Raw genomic sequence first — 13,791 nt, 5'->3', positions numbered from 1 at the left:
ATACCTGGAAAAGGCCTGAGAGTTGAGAGCCTCCTTGCACCCGAGGCAGGTCCCAGCGAAGGGCTCCCTCTGCCAGCTCAGCCTTCTGCTCTGGGCTGCTCAGCTCCTGAGACAGGCTGGAGTTTGGAAAGGGAAGGTGCTGGGCTTGGCACCTTCTTGAGGCAGACCCGTCATGCTGAGCTCACTCTCTCCCCAGGAATCTCCCCGTGGTGGGTGCACACACTCACCTGACCACCCCTCGAGGCAGGGGGAGGTGCAGCCTGACATTGAGGGCTTGGCTACAGAGGAGACGGGAACAAAGTCAGCCCCAGGAAGGCACAGTCCCTTGTCCTGTTCCTCTTCAATGTCATAACAGGATTTCAGCACAGGTGCCCCCCACCTTCCCAAATTCTACAGCCTCTACCTTAACTGGCTTCTGAGGCTGGCAGCTGCATCTGAAGGGAGAAGCAGCAGGTGCCCTGGCCCTGTCTTCCGTCCCATAGAGCTGAACTCAGCCAGGCCAGCCTCACTCTTACCTCTTTGAGAGCAGGTCACATCGCAACTTTAGATAAACCTGGAGCCTGGATGAGAGGGTAAAACACCACGACTCAGGCCATCTTCTACTGGCATCTCACCATTCCCCACCAGGGACCTCCATGTGGGGCTGTGTGGGTGTGGGCTGTACTCCCAAGAGGGAAAAGGGCTGAAGCCCAGCCCAACTCCATTAGCCAAAGCTTTTTCCTTTTTTTTTTTTTCAGAGAGATGGGGTCTCACTATGTTGCCCAGGCTGGTCTGGAACTCCTGGGCTCAAGTGATCCTCCCGCCTCAGCCTCCCAAAGTGCTAGGATTACAGGTGTGAGCCACCGGCCGCAACCCAAGCCTTTTTCCAATTTGCACTCCATCACCACTACCACCACCCCCACTCTGCAGTGAGTCTTGGGAACATACAGGTCTTGGCTTGGGTTCCAAGGTAGTTCTAGAACCCAGGAAATTGTCTCACCGGCCTGAGCCTCGGTCCCACTGCACAGAGGGGAAGAGCCGGAAGGGGAGCGGTGAGGGGAGGTCATCGGAGAGTTGGTACCGCATCACAGTCAGCTGAGAGACCAGAGAGCAACAAGGTTAGTTTGGTCTCACGACCCCACTGCCCCCTTCCCCATGGTGGACGGAATTTATGAGGCCACCCCAACCCTGACCTCGCCCTGAGGTGGTTGCAAGCGGAGGATTCGATGAGACTCAAATTCGTCCAGATTCACAGAGCTGTGAAACGAGACTTCATCGACCCGGATTCCTGGCCCATAACCTGGAAAGAGAGAGAGAGAGACTTCTCTCCTGACTCCTGTTTTGGGAGAGGAGCAAGGAGAGGGGAGGCTCTGTCTGACTTCTCTCCATGAACTCTGGCAATGACCTACTCCAAGGGGAGAAAGACCCACTTTCTCCTCACCTCTCAGCTCTGACTTCCCCACACAAAACTCTTCCGTCAAGCCAATGCGCATCTCTGTCGGAGGAGAGACCATCAGGAGAGCTCAGCAATGCCATGGTTTAAGACACCAAGGAACCCGCCCTAACCCCAACCCTTGGTCCTGCCTGCAGATGCCTCACCAGAGCCGCTAGGAAGGAAGCTCTTGAGCCGAATCTCTCCCTGCACATCCACCTTCAGCAGGGATCCCTGAGAGGCAGGGGCGTCAAGGTTAGAGTCTTTTTTTCTTTCTTTTTTTGAGACGGTCTCGCTCTGTCGCCCAGGCTGGCAGTGGCGTGATCTCGGCTCACTGCAACCTCCACCTCCCAGGTTCAAGACATTCTCCTGCCTCAGCCTCACAAGTAGCTAGGGTTACAGATGCCTGCCACCATAAGTAGCTAATTTTTGTATTTTTAGTAGAGATGGAGTTTCACTGTGTTGGCCAGGCTGGTCTCAAACTCCTGACCTTAAGTGATCCACCCACCTCGGCCTCTCAAAGTGCTGGGATTACAGGCATGAGCCACTGTGCCCAGCCTTTTTTACTTATTTATTTTTTTTAAGAGACAGGGTCTTGCTCTGTCATCCGGGCTAGCGTGCAGTGACTCGATCTTGGCTTACTGCAGCCTTAACCTCCTGGGCTCAAGTGATCCTCCTGGCTCAGCCTCCCAAGTAGCTGGGACAGCAGGTGTACACTACCATGTCTGGGTAATTTGTTTATTTGTATTTTTTGTAGAGACGGGGTCTGGCTATGTTGCCCAGGCTGGTTTCAAACTCCTGGCCCCAAGTAATTCTCCCACCTCGGCCTCCCAAAGCACTGGGATTACAAGCATGAGCCACTGTGCCCGGCCGTTGCTGGGAGTCTTAGCCACCCCACCATGTTTCCCAAGTCCCATCTGTCCTCAGCTCCAGGTTTGGGAGCTCAAACTTACATTAGATGCTATCAGTACAGACAATCTCTCGACCACATCCAAAAAAACTTCATTCTTTTGGCTCTGAGAAAGAGAGAGAATTTGGGTGGTTGGAAGCAGAATAGCCTATGTTCTGAAATGGACAGACAGGGAGAAAGAACAGGACAGTCAAAGCTACAGCTCTAGGGTGAGGACATGGGTGATGGAAGGGATCATCTCCCACCTCCACCCACATCTGGGGGGGTGGGAGATGTGCCAAGATCTTTTTCTTTTTTTTTTTTTTTTTTTGCATTTTTAGTAGAGACAGGTTTTCACCATGTTGGCCAGGCTGCTCTGAAACTCCTGGCATCAGGTGATCTGCCCACCTCGGCCTCCCAAAGTGCTGGGACTACAGGCGTGAGCCGCTGTGCCCGACCTAAGATCTTGGACTCCCGGATCCCAGAGCAAAACCAGAGCGTCTGACCCCATGGATCCTTCCCTCACCTGGTCAGAGCGACTGGACAGGACGGGGCGGCTGGCTGCACTGCTGGGGGCCACTTTGCTCTGTTGTGTCTCAGCCCCAAACTGTAAAGCATCCAAAGCAATCAATCATCAGGTCTGACAACCCCAGCCAACCCCTCTTCTCTTTCCTCACCCTCCTCTTTCCCTCTACTGACCAAGCCAACGCTGCTGAGGTCAAAGAGGCTGAAGGGCTTGCTGACCACAGCTTCCGTCTGGATGAAATTCCTCAGCATCTCCGTGGATGTGGTCTGTACATAGCCATAGTCCTAGTGGTAAAGGAAGGACAGTCTGAGTGATCAGTGGAGGGAAGGGGTAAAGAGGGGGAGTGGGGCCAGGCATGGTGACTCACTCCTGTACTCTCAGCGCTTTGGAAGGCCGAGACGTAGGAGAATGGCTTGAGGCCATGAGTTCAAGACCAGCCTGGGCAACACAGTGAGACTCTAGTCTCTACAAAAAATAAACAATTAGCTAGGCACAGGGGAGGCTGGGGCAGGAGGACGGCTTGAGCCCAGGAGTTCCAGGCTGCAGTGAGCTATAACTGCACCACTGCAGTCCAGCCTGGGCAACAGAGCAAGACCCTGTCTCTAAAAGCAAAAAAAAAAAAAAAAAAAAAGGTAGACTTGGCCTCCTAACCACGGCATCCCACAGTAGAAGAGCAGATGTATCTTCAGGGGAATTGGGTAGGGGCCACAGAAGGGGATTGTTGATTCTCACCAGCACTTCATCCAGGAGTTCGTATACCAGAGCCACATTGCGGGAGATGGTCCCCTCGCCCAGGGAGCCACAGTAATCGCCCAGAAGGGTGGCCAACCTGAGGAAACACTTGGAGCGTGTATTTTCTCCTCCTCTCAGACCCCTCCTAGCTACCAGGTGCCCAGCCCAACCCTCCTCACCTGGAGAGCAGTTCTAGGAGGCTGAAGGGAGAAACGTTTTCTGAAGTTGTGACCACCAAATAGAGGCCGCTGTGTCTGATGTGAATGAAATGACGGCCATGGTGATGCTGAGACACAGGCAGGGAGAAGAGAGGCGTTAAAAAAAGGGAGGTGGAGTGATCAGAACCCAGGAGACCTGAGCTCGGATCCCGATGCCTCTTACTAGTCACAACAGCAGTGCCTTTGGGAGATACATGACATATGCCTGGGCCCAGCTTCCCAATGTGGAAAGGGGGTTAATTACACTAACTACCCCGAGTTGCTGAGGATGGAGTCACGCAGGGAGCTGGGCCTGGTGTGTTGCTGGCGCCCATTGACTCTTTTTTTTTTTTTCCCCACCCCCACCTACCCCGAGAGGGAGTCTCGCTCTGTCTCCCAGGCTGGAGTGCGGTGTCCGGATCTCGGCTCACTGCAACCTCTGCCTCTTGGATTCAAGCGATTCTCAAGCCTCAGCTTCCCGAGTAGATGGGATTACAGGCGCCCGCCACCACGCCCAGCTATGTTTTTTTTTTTTTTGTATTTTTAGTAGAGGCGGAGTTTCACCATGTTGGCCAGGCTGATTTCGAACTCCTGACCTCAGGTGATCCGCCCGCCTCGGTCTCCCAAAGTGCTGGGATTACAGGCGTGAGCCACCGCGCCGGGCCTCACGTTAGCTTTATTTGGCGGAATGCACCCCCCAAGTGGAATCTACCAATGAACCAGTCCTGGGAGGGAGCTGGCGCCCACCCGGCCCGACGGGACCCCGCTCCTCACCCGCCTCCCGCCACTGGTTACCATGACAACCGGGGACTCGTCTCCTGGCAGTCCCGTCAGCTTCCGGTAGAAGAGCTCGGCCACATCCCGGCCGCCACTGTCCCCGCGGACTGGCGGGTGGAAGGACTCAGTGAAGGATCCTGCGACACAGGCTGGCCCTGGGCGCCCCTCCCGCCCGGCCCCTCCGCCCCTTCCCAGCCCCAAGGGTCTAGGATACAGTCTTTGTAGATGAGCGGGTCCCCCTTGGAGGACAGAATGAAGAATTGGGAAATCATGGCCGTTCTGGAGAGTAGACAAGAAGACGGCGAAAGTCGGGCCTGCCCCGCCCTGCGGCCCCGGAACAAAAGAACGCGTGTGCGCTGGCCCTTTAAGAGCGATTCTCCTCCGCCCGCGCCAGCTCGGACCGCGGGAAACCCGGCGCCTGCACTACCCCGCCCGGAGATTCCCTTCCGACGCCCGCACCGCCTCCCCGTCACTCATTCTAGGCCCGCACGGTGATTGGCTTGCGGCTAGCGGGAGGTGAAGAAGGCCGCCTTGTCCGATTGGCCCGCACGCAGTGGCGCCGGTCACGTGGGGGGCGACGTTTCGCGCCAATTTCGGTTGGCCGGCCACAGTCCACCGCGCGGAGATTCTCAGCTTCCCCAGGAGCAAGACCTCTGAGCCCGCCAAGCGCGGCCGCACGGCCCTCGGCAGCGATGGCACTGAAGGACTACGCGCTAGAGAAGGGTACGGGTCTACGAGCCCGGGAGGGCGTCCTGCGCGGGGAGCCTCCCGGGGAACACCTGTTGGTGTGAGCTGGGGTCTTGGGGGACCGGGGTCGGCGGGTTCTGGGGTGCGCGAGGCCAGAGGCAGGGTCGAGCTGCGGCCTGGCTAAGGCCCACGGGGCCTGGGAAGCGTGCGGGGGGCCATCGATGTTGAAGAAAAGCTAGTAATCCCACCTGGTAAAGGTGTTAGGGTCGTGGGGTTGGGGGCTTGGGGGCGCGCTAACCCGGCTGGGGGCTGCACAGGGAAAAGTCGCGCCCAGGACCTCAGGAGAGTCTTAAGGGCTCTGGGCTCCCGTGCCCGCTTTCCTTCGCGCTTTTGGGCATTCCCAGGTTCCCGCGCCCTCCCCAGGCGCGCGTAGGCCCCGGGGGCGGGCAGGCCGGGGCCGCTGCGCGCCGGGATTGGCCGTTTGAGGCCGCCCTCCGAGCGGAAGTGGAGCCGGGCGGAAGTGGCGCGAGGAGGCTGGAGGGAGTGTCGTGTAAACAGTGTCCTTCCGCGCGGCGGCCGCGGAGAGAGCTGCGGCCCGGGGGGGCGTGCCTGGGATCCGGAGCTTCGCTCGGGCCCGGGAAAGGCGGCAGTGGGCTGGGATCGCGGTGTCTCTGGGTGTGATGGCCAATGGCTGGACTGGCTCCCGCCCTGGGCGGAGGAATCCCGAGCTGTGAAGCGGCTGGAATCCGGGCCCATGTGCTTCTTTGTTTACTAAGAGCGGAAGCGATGGCGGGAGCGGGGGTGGGGTGCGGTGGCGGGGTGCGGTGGCGGAGGTCCCGGTGAAATCAGGGGCTAAGGGGACCCAAAGAAGGCGGGGGATCATAGGGGTGGAAAGAAAGCTGAGAACCTTGAGACCGGAGTGTGAGGGGCCAACGGGGAAGGGCGCTAGAATTTTAAACTAAAGTAGGGACCGGAATTCCCCTGGGGAGATGTTGGATGGCCCTGTGCACTGCCACGGGCTCTTTATTCTTCGCTGGTTAGAAACAGACTTGTGAAAAAGAGTTATGCCCACTTTGGGGAGACTTCGGTAGGTTTATTTAAATGCTCATATTATTAATTAGTTCATAGGTCGTGTTTTAAGCGAAAATGGGTATCTAAGATTTGTCTTAAAGTTTGTGTCTTACGGTTTTACATTTCATGTTACAGAAAAGGTTAAGAAGTTCTTACAAGAGTTCTACCAGGATGATGAACTCGGGAAGAAGCAGTTCAAGTATGGGAACCAGTTGGTAAGTCTAAGATTGGGTAAAGGGAATGGGGAGCGGGGTGCTTAAGGAGCCATAAGCAGCAGCTTGGCTTGTTTTATTAAAGACATAACAATTAGAGGGTTTGAGGGCTGAAAAGCGAGTATCGCTCTGTGTGGCGCTGCGTTCTCCCCTGTGGATGCCCAGAGCCTGTGCTGAGTTCTCAGTGATGCATTTTCACATATGAACACTGGTGAGCAAAGTGAATGTGGCTCTGAGGTGTTTCTGTCTCTTCCCCACTTGAGGTTCGGCTGGCTCATCGGGAACAGGTGGCTCTGTATGTGGACCTGGACGACGTAGCCGAGGATGACCCCGAGTTGGTGGACTCAATTTGTGAGAATGCCAGGCGCTACGCGAAGCTCTTTGCTGATGCCGTACAAGAGCTGCTGCCTCAGTACAAGGAGAGGGAAGTGAGTGGTTAGAGAACAATGGCAAACAAAGGGCGAGGCGTTTAAGCTTCTGTAGAGAGGCTGCTCAGATACTGATGTTTTCTGAGCAGGCAGAAAGGAGGGGCACTTCTGCCTGGTGTTCTCTGTGCTCTCCTTTCCCCATCCTGTTGCTCTTTTTTTTTTTTTTTTTTGTTCTTCTCCTTTAGGTGGTAAATAAAGATGTCCTGGACGTTTACATTGAGCATCGGCTAATGATGGAGCAGCGGAGTCGGGACCCTGGGATGGTCCGAAGCCCCCAGAACCAGTACCCTGCTGAACTCATGCGCAGATTGTGAGTGGTCTCTGTCGGGAAAGATGTAGGGATTGGTTCTCCAGGATCTTGTTTGTGACTGTTTTCTCCCCTTAGTGAGCTGTATTTTCAAGGCCCTAGCAGCAACAAGCCTCGTGTGATCCGGGAAGTGCGGGCTGACTCTGTGGGGAAGTTGGTAACTGTGCGTGGAATCGTCACTCGTGTCTCTGAAGTCAAACCCAAGATGGTGGTGGCCACTTACACTTGTGACCAGTGTGGGGCAGAGACCTACCAGCCGGTACGTGTGGAGCAAGAAGCAGGAAAGCACTTACCCATTAGTTGTTTTGTAGAGATTAATTTGATCCTGTGATGCCTATTGTTTTATTTGGTTGTAAAAGTTGCCTGTGTGTTCGCCTTTCATTCTTGGGTATGTAGTGGTCTTTCTACCTATTTTCTGGGTGTTTGTTGTTGACCCAGAGTAAGTTCAGAGGGTTCTTGACACTTACAAGATGTCTGCCATGAAGAGAAAATGTGATTCAAAGGACCGACCCAATGGGGCTCTTTTCCTTCTGAGTTCCTTTGGTGTTTCTGTTCTCACATCCTAGATCCAGTCTCCCACTTTCATGCCTCTGATCATGTGCCCAAGCCAGGAGTGCCAAACCAACCGCTCAGGAGGGCGGCTGTATCTGCAGACACGGGGCTCCAGATTCATCAAATTCCAGGAGATGAAGATGCAAGAACATGTGAGTTTGGGGTACGTGGCCCTGGGCAGGTGGATCGGGAGTCCACTTGAATCCTGTAGTCACTTGTGGAATGGCAGGAAGAAAGAAGAACAAAAGAGGGAAGTGCAGGAGGGAGGTGGAACTAGAATTTCCTGGGAGCCTTGGGAAGGGGAAAGGAGGTCTCAGCACCCCTGCTGTGGGCTTGTCTGTGGCTGGGTAGCCTGGGAGCCTTTGAGTGGGATGCCTAGGGAGGGAAGGTTGGGTCCTTGTCCATTTCTCCTAGTCTTATGTGCCTTTCCCTCCCCTAGAGTGATCAGGTGCCTGTGGGAAATATCCCTCGTAGTATCACGGTGCTGGTAGAAGGAGAGAACACAAGGATTGCCCAGCCTGGAGACCACGTCAGCGTCACTGGTATTTTCTTGCCAATCCTGCGCACTGGGTTCCGACAGGTGGTACAGGTAAGGAAGAGTTTGACATGAGGAATGGATCATCCCCTTTTCCCTCACCTACTCATTCTACCCACACAGAGAAAAGAGCAGCAAAACCCCAAACAAAACAGAACCCAGGGATTTGTCAAGAAATTGTTAGGGAATCCAGTGATGGGCAAGTTGAAGGGATTACATCTGTATCCTGGCATTTTCCTGCCCAAGGGTTTACTCTCAGAAACCTACCTGGAAGCCCATCGGATTGTGAAGATGAACAAGAGTGAGGATGATGAGTCTGGGGCTGGAGAGCTCACCAGGGAGGAGCTGAGGCAAATTGCAGGTGAGGGGCAGGGGAGAGAGAGGAAATTCCGTTTACATCCTAGCTCCCTTTTCCCCCAGAAAATAAAACAACCTTAACTTCTCTACAGAGGAGGATTTCTACGAAAAGCTGGCAGCTTCAATCGCCCCAGAAATATACGGGCATGAAGATGTGAAGAAGGCACTGCTGCTCCTGCTAGTCGGGGGTGTGGACCAGTCTCCTCGAGGCATGAAAATCCGGGGTAAGAAGAAACAAGGGAGAGGCTCAGGGTGGATGAAGTCATTTAGGAGGAAAAAAGGATGACAAGTGTCCCTGTAGGTCACAGTATGAGTGGACATCTTGCCTTCGTGGACACAGGGAGGGCTTAGAAATAGTGCTGGGTGTTAGGGGTAGGCAGAACTCAAAATTGCTCTGTTGTTGGCCAAGCACTGGGAGAAGAGTCATTCCAGGGCTGCCTTCCCTTCCTCCAGGCAACATCAACATCTGTCTGATGGGGGATCCTGGTGTGGCCAAGTCTCAGCTCCTGTCATACATTGATCGACTGGCGCCTCGCAGTAAGTAGTTGGGCTTTGCGGGAGGTGAATATAGTGACAGACAGGACCACAGTGTTTATTCAAAAAGTAGGGGTGCATGTTTGCTCACGCCTGTAATCCCAATGCTCTGAGAGGCTGAGGCAGGAGAATCATTTGAGGCGAGGATTTTGAGACCGCTTCCATGTCTACTAAAAAGTTTTGTTTTTGTTTTTGTTTTTTTTGAGATAGAGGCTTGCTCTTTCGCCCAGGCCGGAGTGCAGTGGCGCTATCTCGGTTCACTGCAAGCTCCACCTCCTGGGGTCACGCCATTCTCCTGCCTCAGCCTCCCGAGTAGCTGGGACTACAGGCGCCCGCCACCACGCCTGGCTAATTCTTTGTATTTTTAATAGAGACGGGGTTTCACCGTGTTAGCCAGATGGTCTCGATATCCTGACCTCGTGATCCGCCCGCCTCGGCCTCCCAAAGTGCTGGGATTACAGGCGTGAGCCACCGCACCCGGCCTAAAAAGTTTTTTTTGTTGTTTGGGTATTGTTTTGTTTTTTGTTTTTTTTGAGACGGAGTCTCAGTCACCCAGACTGGAGTGCAATGGCATGGTCTTGGCTCACTGCAACCTCTGCCTCCCAGGTTCAAGCAATTCTCCTGCTTCGGCCTCCCGAGTAGCTGGGACTACAGGCGCGTGCCACCACACTTGGCCACTTTTTGTATTTTTAGTAGAGACAGGGTTTACTGTGTTGGGCAGGCTGGTCTCGAACTCCTGACCTCGTGATCTGCCCGCCTTGTTATCGGCCTCCGAAAGTGCTGGGATTAGAGGAGTTAGCCACTGCGCCCGGCCTCTACTAAAAAGTTTTAAAAATTGGTTGGGTGTGGTAGTGAGTGCCTATAGTCTCAGTTACTTGGGAGGCTGAGGCCGGAGGATGGCTTGAGCCCAGGAGCCAAGGTTTCAGTGAGCCACAGTTGTGTTCTGAAGAGAACCAGTGGGAGGGGAAGGGGGACATTGCCAGTGCCCCACAGATCCTCGGGCATCTCAAGAAGGCCTGGTGGAGGGAGTGGAATGATCCCAGCGCAGGCCTCGCCTCCCTGGCCCGTTTGTTGTCTTTTGCTTGTTCTCTTTCTTGTTCTTTCTCTCTCATGGTTCCTTATTTCTTCTCTTCCAGGCCAGTACACAACAGGCCGGGGCTCCTCAGGAGTGGGGCTTACGGCAGCTGTGCTGAGAGACTCCGTGAGTGGAGAACTGACCTTAGAGGGTGGGGCCCTGGTGCTGGCTGACCAGGGTGTGTGCTGCATTGATGAGTTCGACAAGATGGCTGAGGCCGACCGCACAGCCATCCACGAGGTCATGGAGCAGCAGACCATCTCCATTGCCAAGGCCGGCATTCTCACCACACTCAATGCCCGCTGCTCCATCCTGGCTGCCGCCAACCCTGCCTACGGGCGCTACAACCCTCGCCGCAGCCTGGAGCAGAACATACAGCTACCTGCTGCACTGCTCTCCCGGTTTGACCTCCTCTGGCTGATTCAGGACCGGCCCGACCGAGACAATGACCTACGGTGAATGAAGCTCAACACCCAAAGAGAGGTCCCCTGTAATGATCTGTGTAGGGAGGAGGAGAGGTGAATCAGAAAACAAATTCCACGCTCCTGGAAACCCCAGAGCCTCCCCTTTGCAGCAGGGGCTGGTCCATGGTTCTCAGGGAAATGGTGGGTTGGGGCTGAAATGCTGATGAGGATTTCCCGGGAAAGCTTGTCCCTCCTACACTGTGAGGAAGTGGCAGAGCCAAAGGAGGGACACCTAAGAGGACATGGGTGCGTAGCCCTAAAAAGGGTGTTCCTTCTAACCTTCCCTCTGTCCAGGTTGGCCCAGCACATCACCTATGTGCACCAGCACAGCCGGCAGCCCCCCTCCCAGTTTGAACCTCTGGACATGAAGCTCATGAGGTAGGAGAGCTGGGTGCGGGTGGGCAAACGTTGGCGTGGGCCGTGCGAGCCTCCTGAAAAAGTGCTTATTAGTCTTAGGGTGTGTGTTTTTCACACCACCACTTCCCGCTACAGACATGTCCAGAGCCTCAGATCAGCTTTTAAGTGGAAAATTCCACACTTCATATCATAGGGACACAGGAAATTTTGTTTCCTACACTATTTATTTTTTTTGAGACGAAGTCTTGCTCTGTCACCCAGGCTGGAGTGTAGTGATCTCAGCTCTCTGCAACCTCTGCCTCCCAGATTCAAGCGATTCTCCTGCCTCAGCCTCCTGAGTAGCTGGGATTACAGGCGCACGCCACCACGCCTGGTTAATTTTTTGTATTTTAGTAGAGAGCAGTTTCACCATGTTGGCCAGGATGCCCACCTCTGCCTCCCAAAGTGCTGGGATTACAGGCATGAACCACTGCTCCTGGCCCACAAAAATATTTTTAATAAAATTACCTTCAGGTTATGTGTATCAGTTGTATATGAAATACAGGTGAATTTCATGTTTAGACTGGAGTCCCATCCCCAAGCTATCTCATGCATATGCAAATACTCCAAAATTTAAAGTTTAAAACACCTGCTCCCAGGCATTCTGGATGATAATCTCTATCGCTATTTTCCCATGAGCCTCCAGTGTTCTTTCCGGTTTTTACTCCCTTTTAAATATTCTGTAAACAGTTCTCTTTAAATAAAATATATGTTTTGCCATGTCATGCGCTCAGAGGAGGGGTCTGGATCCTCTCTTAATGACAGACGGATTTGTCTTACAAAGGCCATTTTCCCGAAAAAAATAGGAAATAACTTGGAGGATACTGGTGGGGGCTATACGTTTGGTGAAATCCATCAGTGATATTCAAGCCAAGCAAATAATCACCCACTAATTTGTGTTTTCCACTTAAAATTCTTGGAGGGGACCATGTTAAATGGGGAGCCCTGGTACAGAAAACAACATGGGCTCATATTCACTCCCTTCCCCATCTCCCTCTTCTGCTTCCCCATGAACCTTCCCCCACAGGCGTTACATAGCCATGTGCCGCGAGAAGCAGCCCATGGTGCCAGAGTCTCTGGCTGACTACATCACAGCAGCATACGTGGAGATGAGGCGAGAGGCTTGGGCTAGTAAGGATGCCACCTATACTTCTGCCCGGACCCTGCTGGCTATCCTGCGCCTTTCCACTGCTCTGGTAAGTGCCCAAATTGCTGGAGGGCCATCTGTTTTGACCCTTAAAGGGGTAGCTCCTTACCGTGCTCTCATTGCCGCCTCCCCACCTCCCGCTCCAGCCCTGCCGGGGCTAAAGTGCTGACAGTGCAGATAGTGGTCCTCTCCGTGCTACCGCACTGTGGGTACTTGCTGCTCCAGCAGGGCACGCACAGCGTCCGTGGAGGGAAAGGCCTTTTCCCCACTTCTTAACCTTCACTGAGAGGGTGGTTGGGGTCTGTTTCACTCCATGTGTCCTAGATCCTGTGCTACAGACCTTCCTTTCTGTCCTCCCGTCTTGGACCTCAGTCCTGGGGGCTCCAAAGTGCTGTTCGTGCAGGTAGTGTGATTACCCAACCTACTGCTGAGCTAGCACTTCCCGAGCCCCCGGGACACGTTCTCTCTGCCAATTGTCTTCTTGGCTGAGCTCCCCAAGCTCCATCTGTCATGCTGGGGAGCCCAGTGGCGTTCAAAAGGGTCTGGTCTCCCTCACAGGACAGCTGAACTCCGGGACTGGCCAGTGTTGAGAGGCGGAGACTTGGGCAATTGCTGGACGCTGCCCTGGGCATTGCACTTGTCTCGGTCTGACAGTGCCGGCCCAACACTGCGGATGCTGGGGGGAGGGGGGATTCCACTCCTGTTTTGTGAGTAGGCGACCCATGGGCTGCCCAGCCTTAAAGCCAGAACAAGGGTGTCCCCTGACCTCGTTCCACTGCCCTCCTCCCGTTCCCATCTTTCCCCCCTACCTTCCCCTTAGGCACGTCTGAGAATGGTGGATGTGGTGGAGAAAGAAGATGTGAATGAAGCCATCAGGCTAATGGAGATGTCAAAGGACTCTCTTCTAGGAGACAAGGGGCAGACAGCTAGGTGAGTGGTTTAGTGAAGGACAAAGCTGTGTCACTTTGTCTTCTGTGGCCATGTGTCTGAGGTTGGCCTCAATTCTAACACTGGCCACCATTGTTCTCTGTTGATGTCGAGCATTCCTGTTTGTATCCTGACCTTACACACCCACTCATTTCCTTCAGGACTCAGAGACCAGCAGATGTGATATTTGCCACCGTCCGTGAACTGGTCTCAGGGGGCCGAAGTGTCCGGTTCTCTGAGGCAGAGCAGCGCTGTGTATCTCGTGGCTTCACACCCGCCCAGTTCCAGGCGGCTCTGGATGAATATGAGGAGCTCAATGTCTGGCAGGTCAATGCTTCCCGGACACGGATCACTTTTGTCTGATTCCAGCCTGCTTGCAACCCTGGGGTCCTCTTGTTCCCTGCTGGCCTGCCCCTTGGGAAGGGGCAGTGATGCCTTTGAGGGGAAGGAGGAGCCCCTCTTTCTCCCATGCTGCACTTACTCCTTTTGCTAATAAAAGTGTTTGTAGATTGTCATCTTCTAGCCTGGGCCTGACTTCCATTAAAACAGGGTTTTGTGCGTTTTTTA

The 13,791-nt window shown here is 54.3% G+C and overlaps 2 protein-coding genes and 3 non-coding genes across 22 annotated transcripts in view, besides 5 other annotated features; 4 read left to right on the top strand and 1 right to left on the bottom strand.

The window, feature by feature from the left end:
• Positions 1 to 5,725, bottom strand: part of AP4M1 (adaptor related protein complex 4 subunit mu 1) — an 8,246-nt gene extending 2,521 nt beyond the window's left edge. For 2 of the 13 annotated variants that reach the window (NM_001363671.2, NM_001438827.1), the window contains exons 1-14: positions 4,747 to 4,876; positions 4,530 to 4,639; positions 3,738 to 3,844; positions 3,559 to 3,655; positions 3,000 to 3,110; positions 2,827 to 2,907; positions 2,365 to 2,427; positions 1,579 to 1,645; positions 1,421 to 1,474; positions 1,173 to 1,279; positions 980 to 1,074; positions 516 to 560; positions 228 to 278; positions 5 to 116 (exon numbers count right to left, since the gene is read on the bottom strand). In NM_001363671.2, the coding sequence (NP_001350600.1) occupies positions 5 to 116; positions 228 to 278; positions 516 to 560; positions 980 to 1,074; positions 1,173 to 1,279; positions 1,421 to 1,474; positions 1,579 to 1,645; positions 2,365 to 2,427; positions 2,827 to 2,907; positions 3,000 to 3,110; positions 3,559 to 3,655; positions 3,738 to 3,844; positions 4,530 to 4,639; positions 4,747 to 4,804 (1,158 nt within the window). In that variant the 5' untranslated portion in view covers positions 4,805 to 4,876. Of the gene's footprint in view, positions 1 to 4; positions 117 to 227; positions 279 to 403; positions 561 to 979; positions 1,075 to 1,172; positions 1,280 to 1,420; positions 1,475 to 1,578; positions 1,646 to 2,364; positions 2,428 to 2,826; positions 2,908 to 2,999; positions 3,111 to 3,558; positions 3,656 to 3,737; positions 3,845 to 4,125; positions 4,274 to 4,529; positions 4,640 to 4,746; positions 4,877 to 5,022 lie in introns of those variants that run through there. The other 11 variants (NM_004722.4, NM_001438828.1, NM_001438829.1 and 8 more) reach the window with 9 other exon arrangements.
• Positions 4,798 to 4,847: an enhancer, noted in NCBI's record as "active region_26336". NCBI's record gives its function as "activates an Ori minimal core promoter by ATAC-STARR-seq in GM12878 lymphoblastoid cells {active_cell/tissue: GM12878}" and the evidence as "EXISTENCE:reporter gene assay evidence [ECO:0000049][PMID:35858748]".
• Positions 4,870 to 5,422: an enhancer, noted in NCBI's record as "NANOG-H3K27ac-H3K4me1 hESC enhancer chr7:99698720-99699272 (GRCh37/hg19 assembly coordinates)". NCBI's record gives its function as "activates a minimal SCP1, AML or CMV promoter by ChIP-STARR-seq in naive and primed H9 embryonic stem cells {active_cell/tissue: H9 hESC(naive and primed)}" and the evidence as "EXISTENCE:reporter gene assay evidence [ECO:0000049][PMID:30033119]".
• Positions 5,122 to 13,791, top strand: MCM7 (minichromosome maintenance complex component 7). 6 transcript variants are annotated; one of them, NM_005916.5, is made up of 15 exons: positions 5,122 to 5,255; positions 6,426 to 6,505; positions 6,766 to 6,930; positions 7,116 to 7,240; positions 7,316 to 7,496; positions 7,804 to 7,941; positions 8,229 to 8,378; positions 8,571 to 8,685; positions 8,774 to 8,905; positions 9,135 to 9,218; positions 10,352 to 10,745; positions 11,049 to 11,132; positions 12,178 to 12,346; positions 13,118 to 13,227; positions 13,386 to 13,791. In NM_005916.5, exons 1-15 carry the CDS (start codon positions 5,225 to 5,227, stop codon positions 13,585 to 13,587), a joined length of 2,160 nt encoding a protein of 719 aa, NP_005907.3. In that variant the 5' UTR covers positions 5,122 to 5,224; the 3' UTR covers positions 13,588 to 13,791. The 6 variants fall into 6 exon arrangements, with proteins under 6 accessions (NP_005907.3, NP_001426201.1, NP_001265524.1 ...); NM_001439272.1 differs by having other exon boundaries at positions 5,122 to 5,319; NM_001439273.1 differs by lacking the exon at positions 5,122 to 5,255 and adding an exon at positions 5,765 to 5,975.
• Positions 5,558 to 5,657: a silencer, noted in NCBI's record as "silent region_18415". NCBI's record gives its function as "represses an Ori minimal core promoter by ATAC-STARR-seq in GM12878 lymphoblastoid cells {active_cell/tissue: GM12878}" and the evidence as "EXISTENCE:reporter gene assay evidence [ECO:0000049][PMID:35858748]".
• Positions 5,768 to 5,927: an enhancer, noted in NCBI's record as "active region_26335". NCBI's record gives its function as "activates an Ori minimal core promoter by ATAC-STARR-seq in GM12878 lymphoblastoid cells {active_cell/tissue: GM12878}" and the evidence as "EXISTENCE:reporter gene assay evidence [ECO:0000049][PMID:35858748]".
• Positions 10,518 to 11,018: an enhancer, noted in NCBI's record as "H3K4me1 hESC enhancer chr7:99693124-99693624 (GRCh37/hg19 assembly coordinates)". NCBI's record gives its function as "activates a minimal SCP1, AML or CMV promoter by ChIP-STARR-seq in naive H9 embryonic stem cells {active_cell/tissue: H9 hESC(naive)}" and the evidence as "EXISTENCE:reporter gene assay evidence [ECO:0000049][PMID:30033119]".
• On the top strand, positions 12,445 to 12,526 carry MIR106B (microRNA 106b). The gene has a single exon (NR_029831.1). It is a non-coding gene; the product is annotated as a microRNA 106b (primary transcript).
• MIR93 (microRNA 93) lies at positions 12,672 to 12,751 on the top strand. The gene has a single exon (NR_029510.1). It is a non-coding gene; the product is annotated as a microRNA 93 (primary transcript).
• On the top strand, positions 12,876 to 12,959 carry MIR25 (microRNA 25). The gene has a single exon (NR_029498.1). It is a non-coding gene; the product is annotated as a microRNA 25 (primary transcript).

This window comes from Homo sapiens, chromosome 7, assembly GCF_000001405.40.
Source record: "Homo sapiens chromosome 7, GRCh38.p14 Primary Assembly".
Lineage (NCBI taxonomy): Eukaryota > Metazoa > Chordata > Mammalia > Primates > Hominidae > Homo > Homo sapiens.
This window is presented reverse-complemented; position numbering and strand designations above follow the sequence as displayed.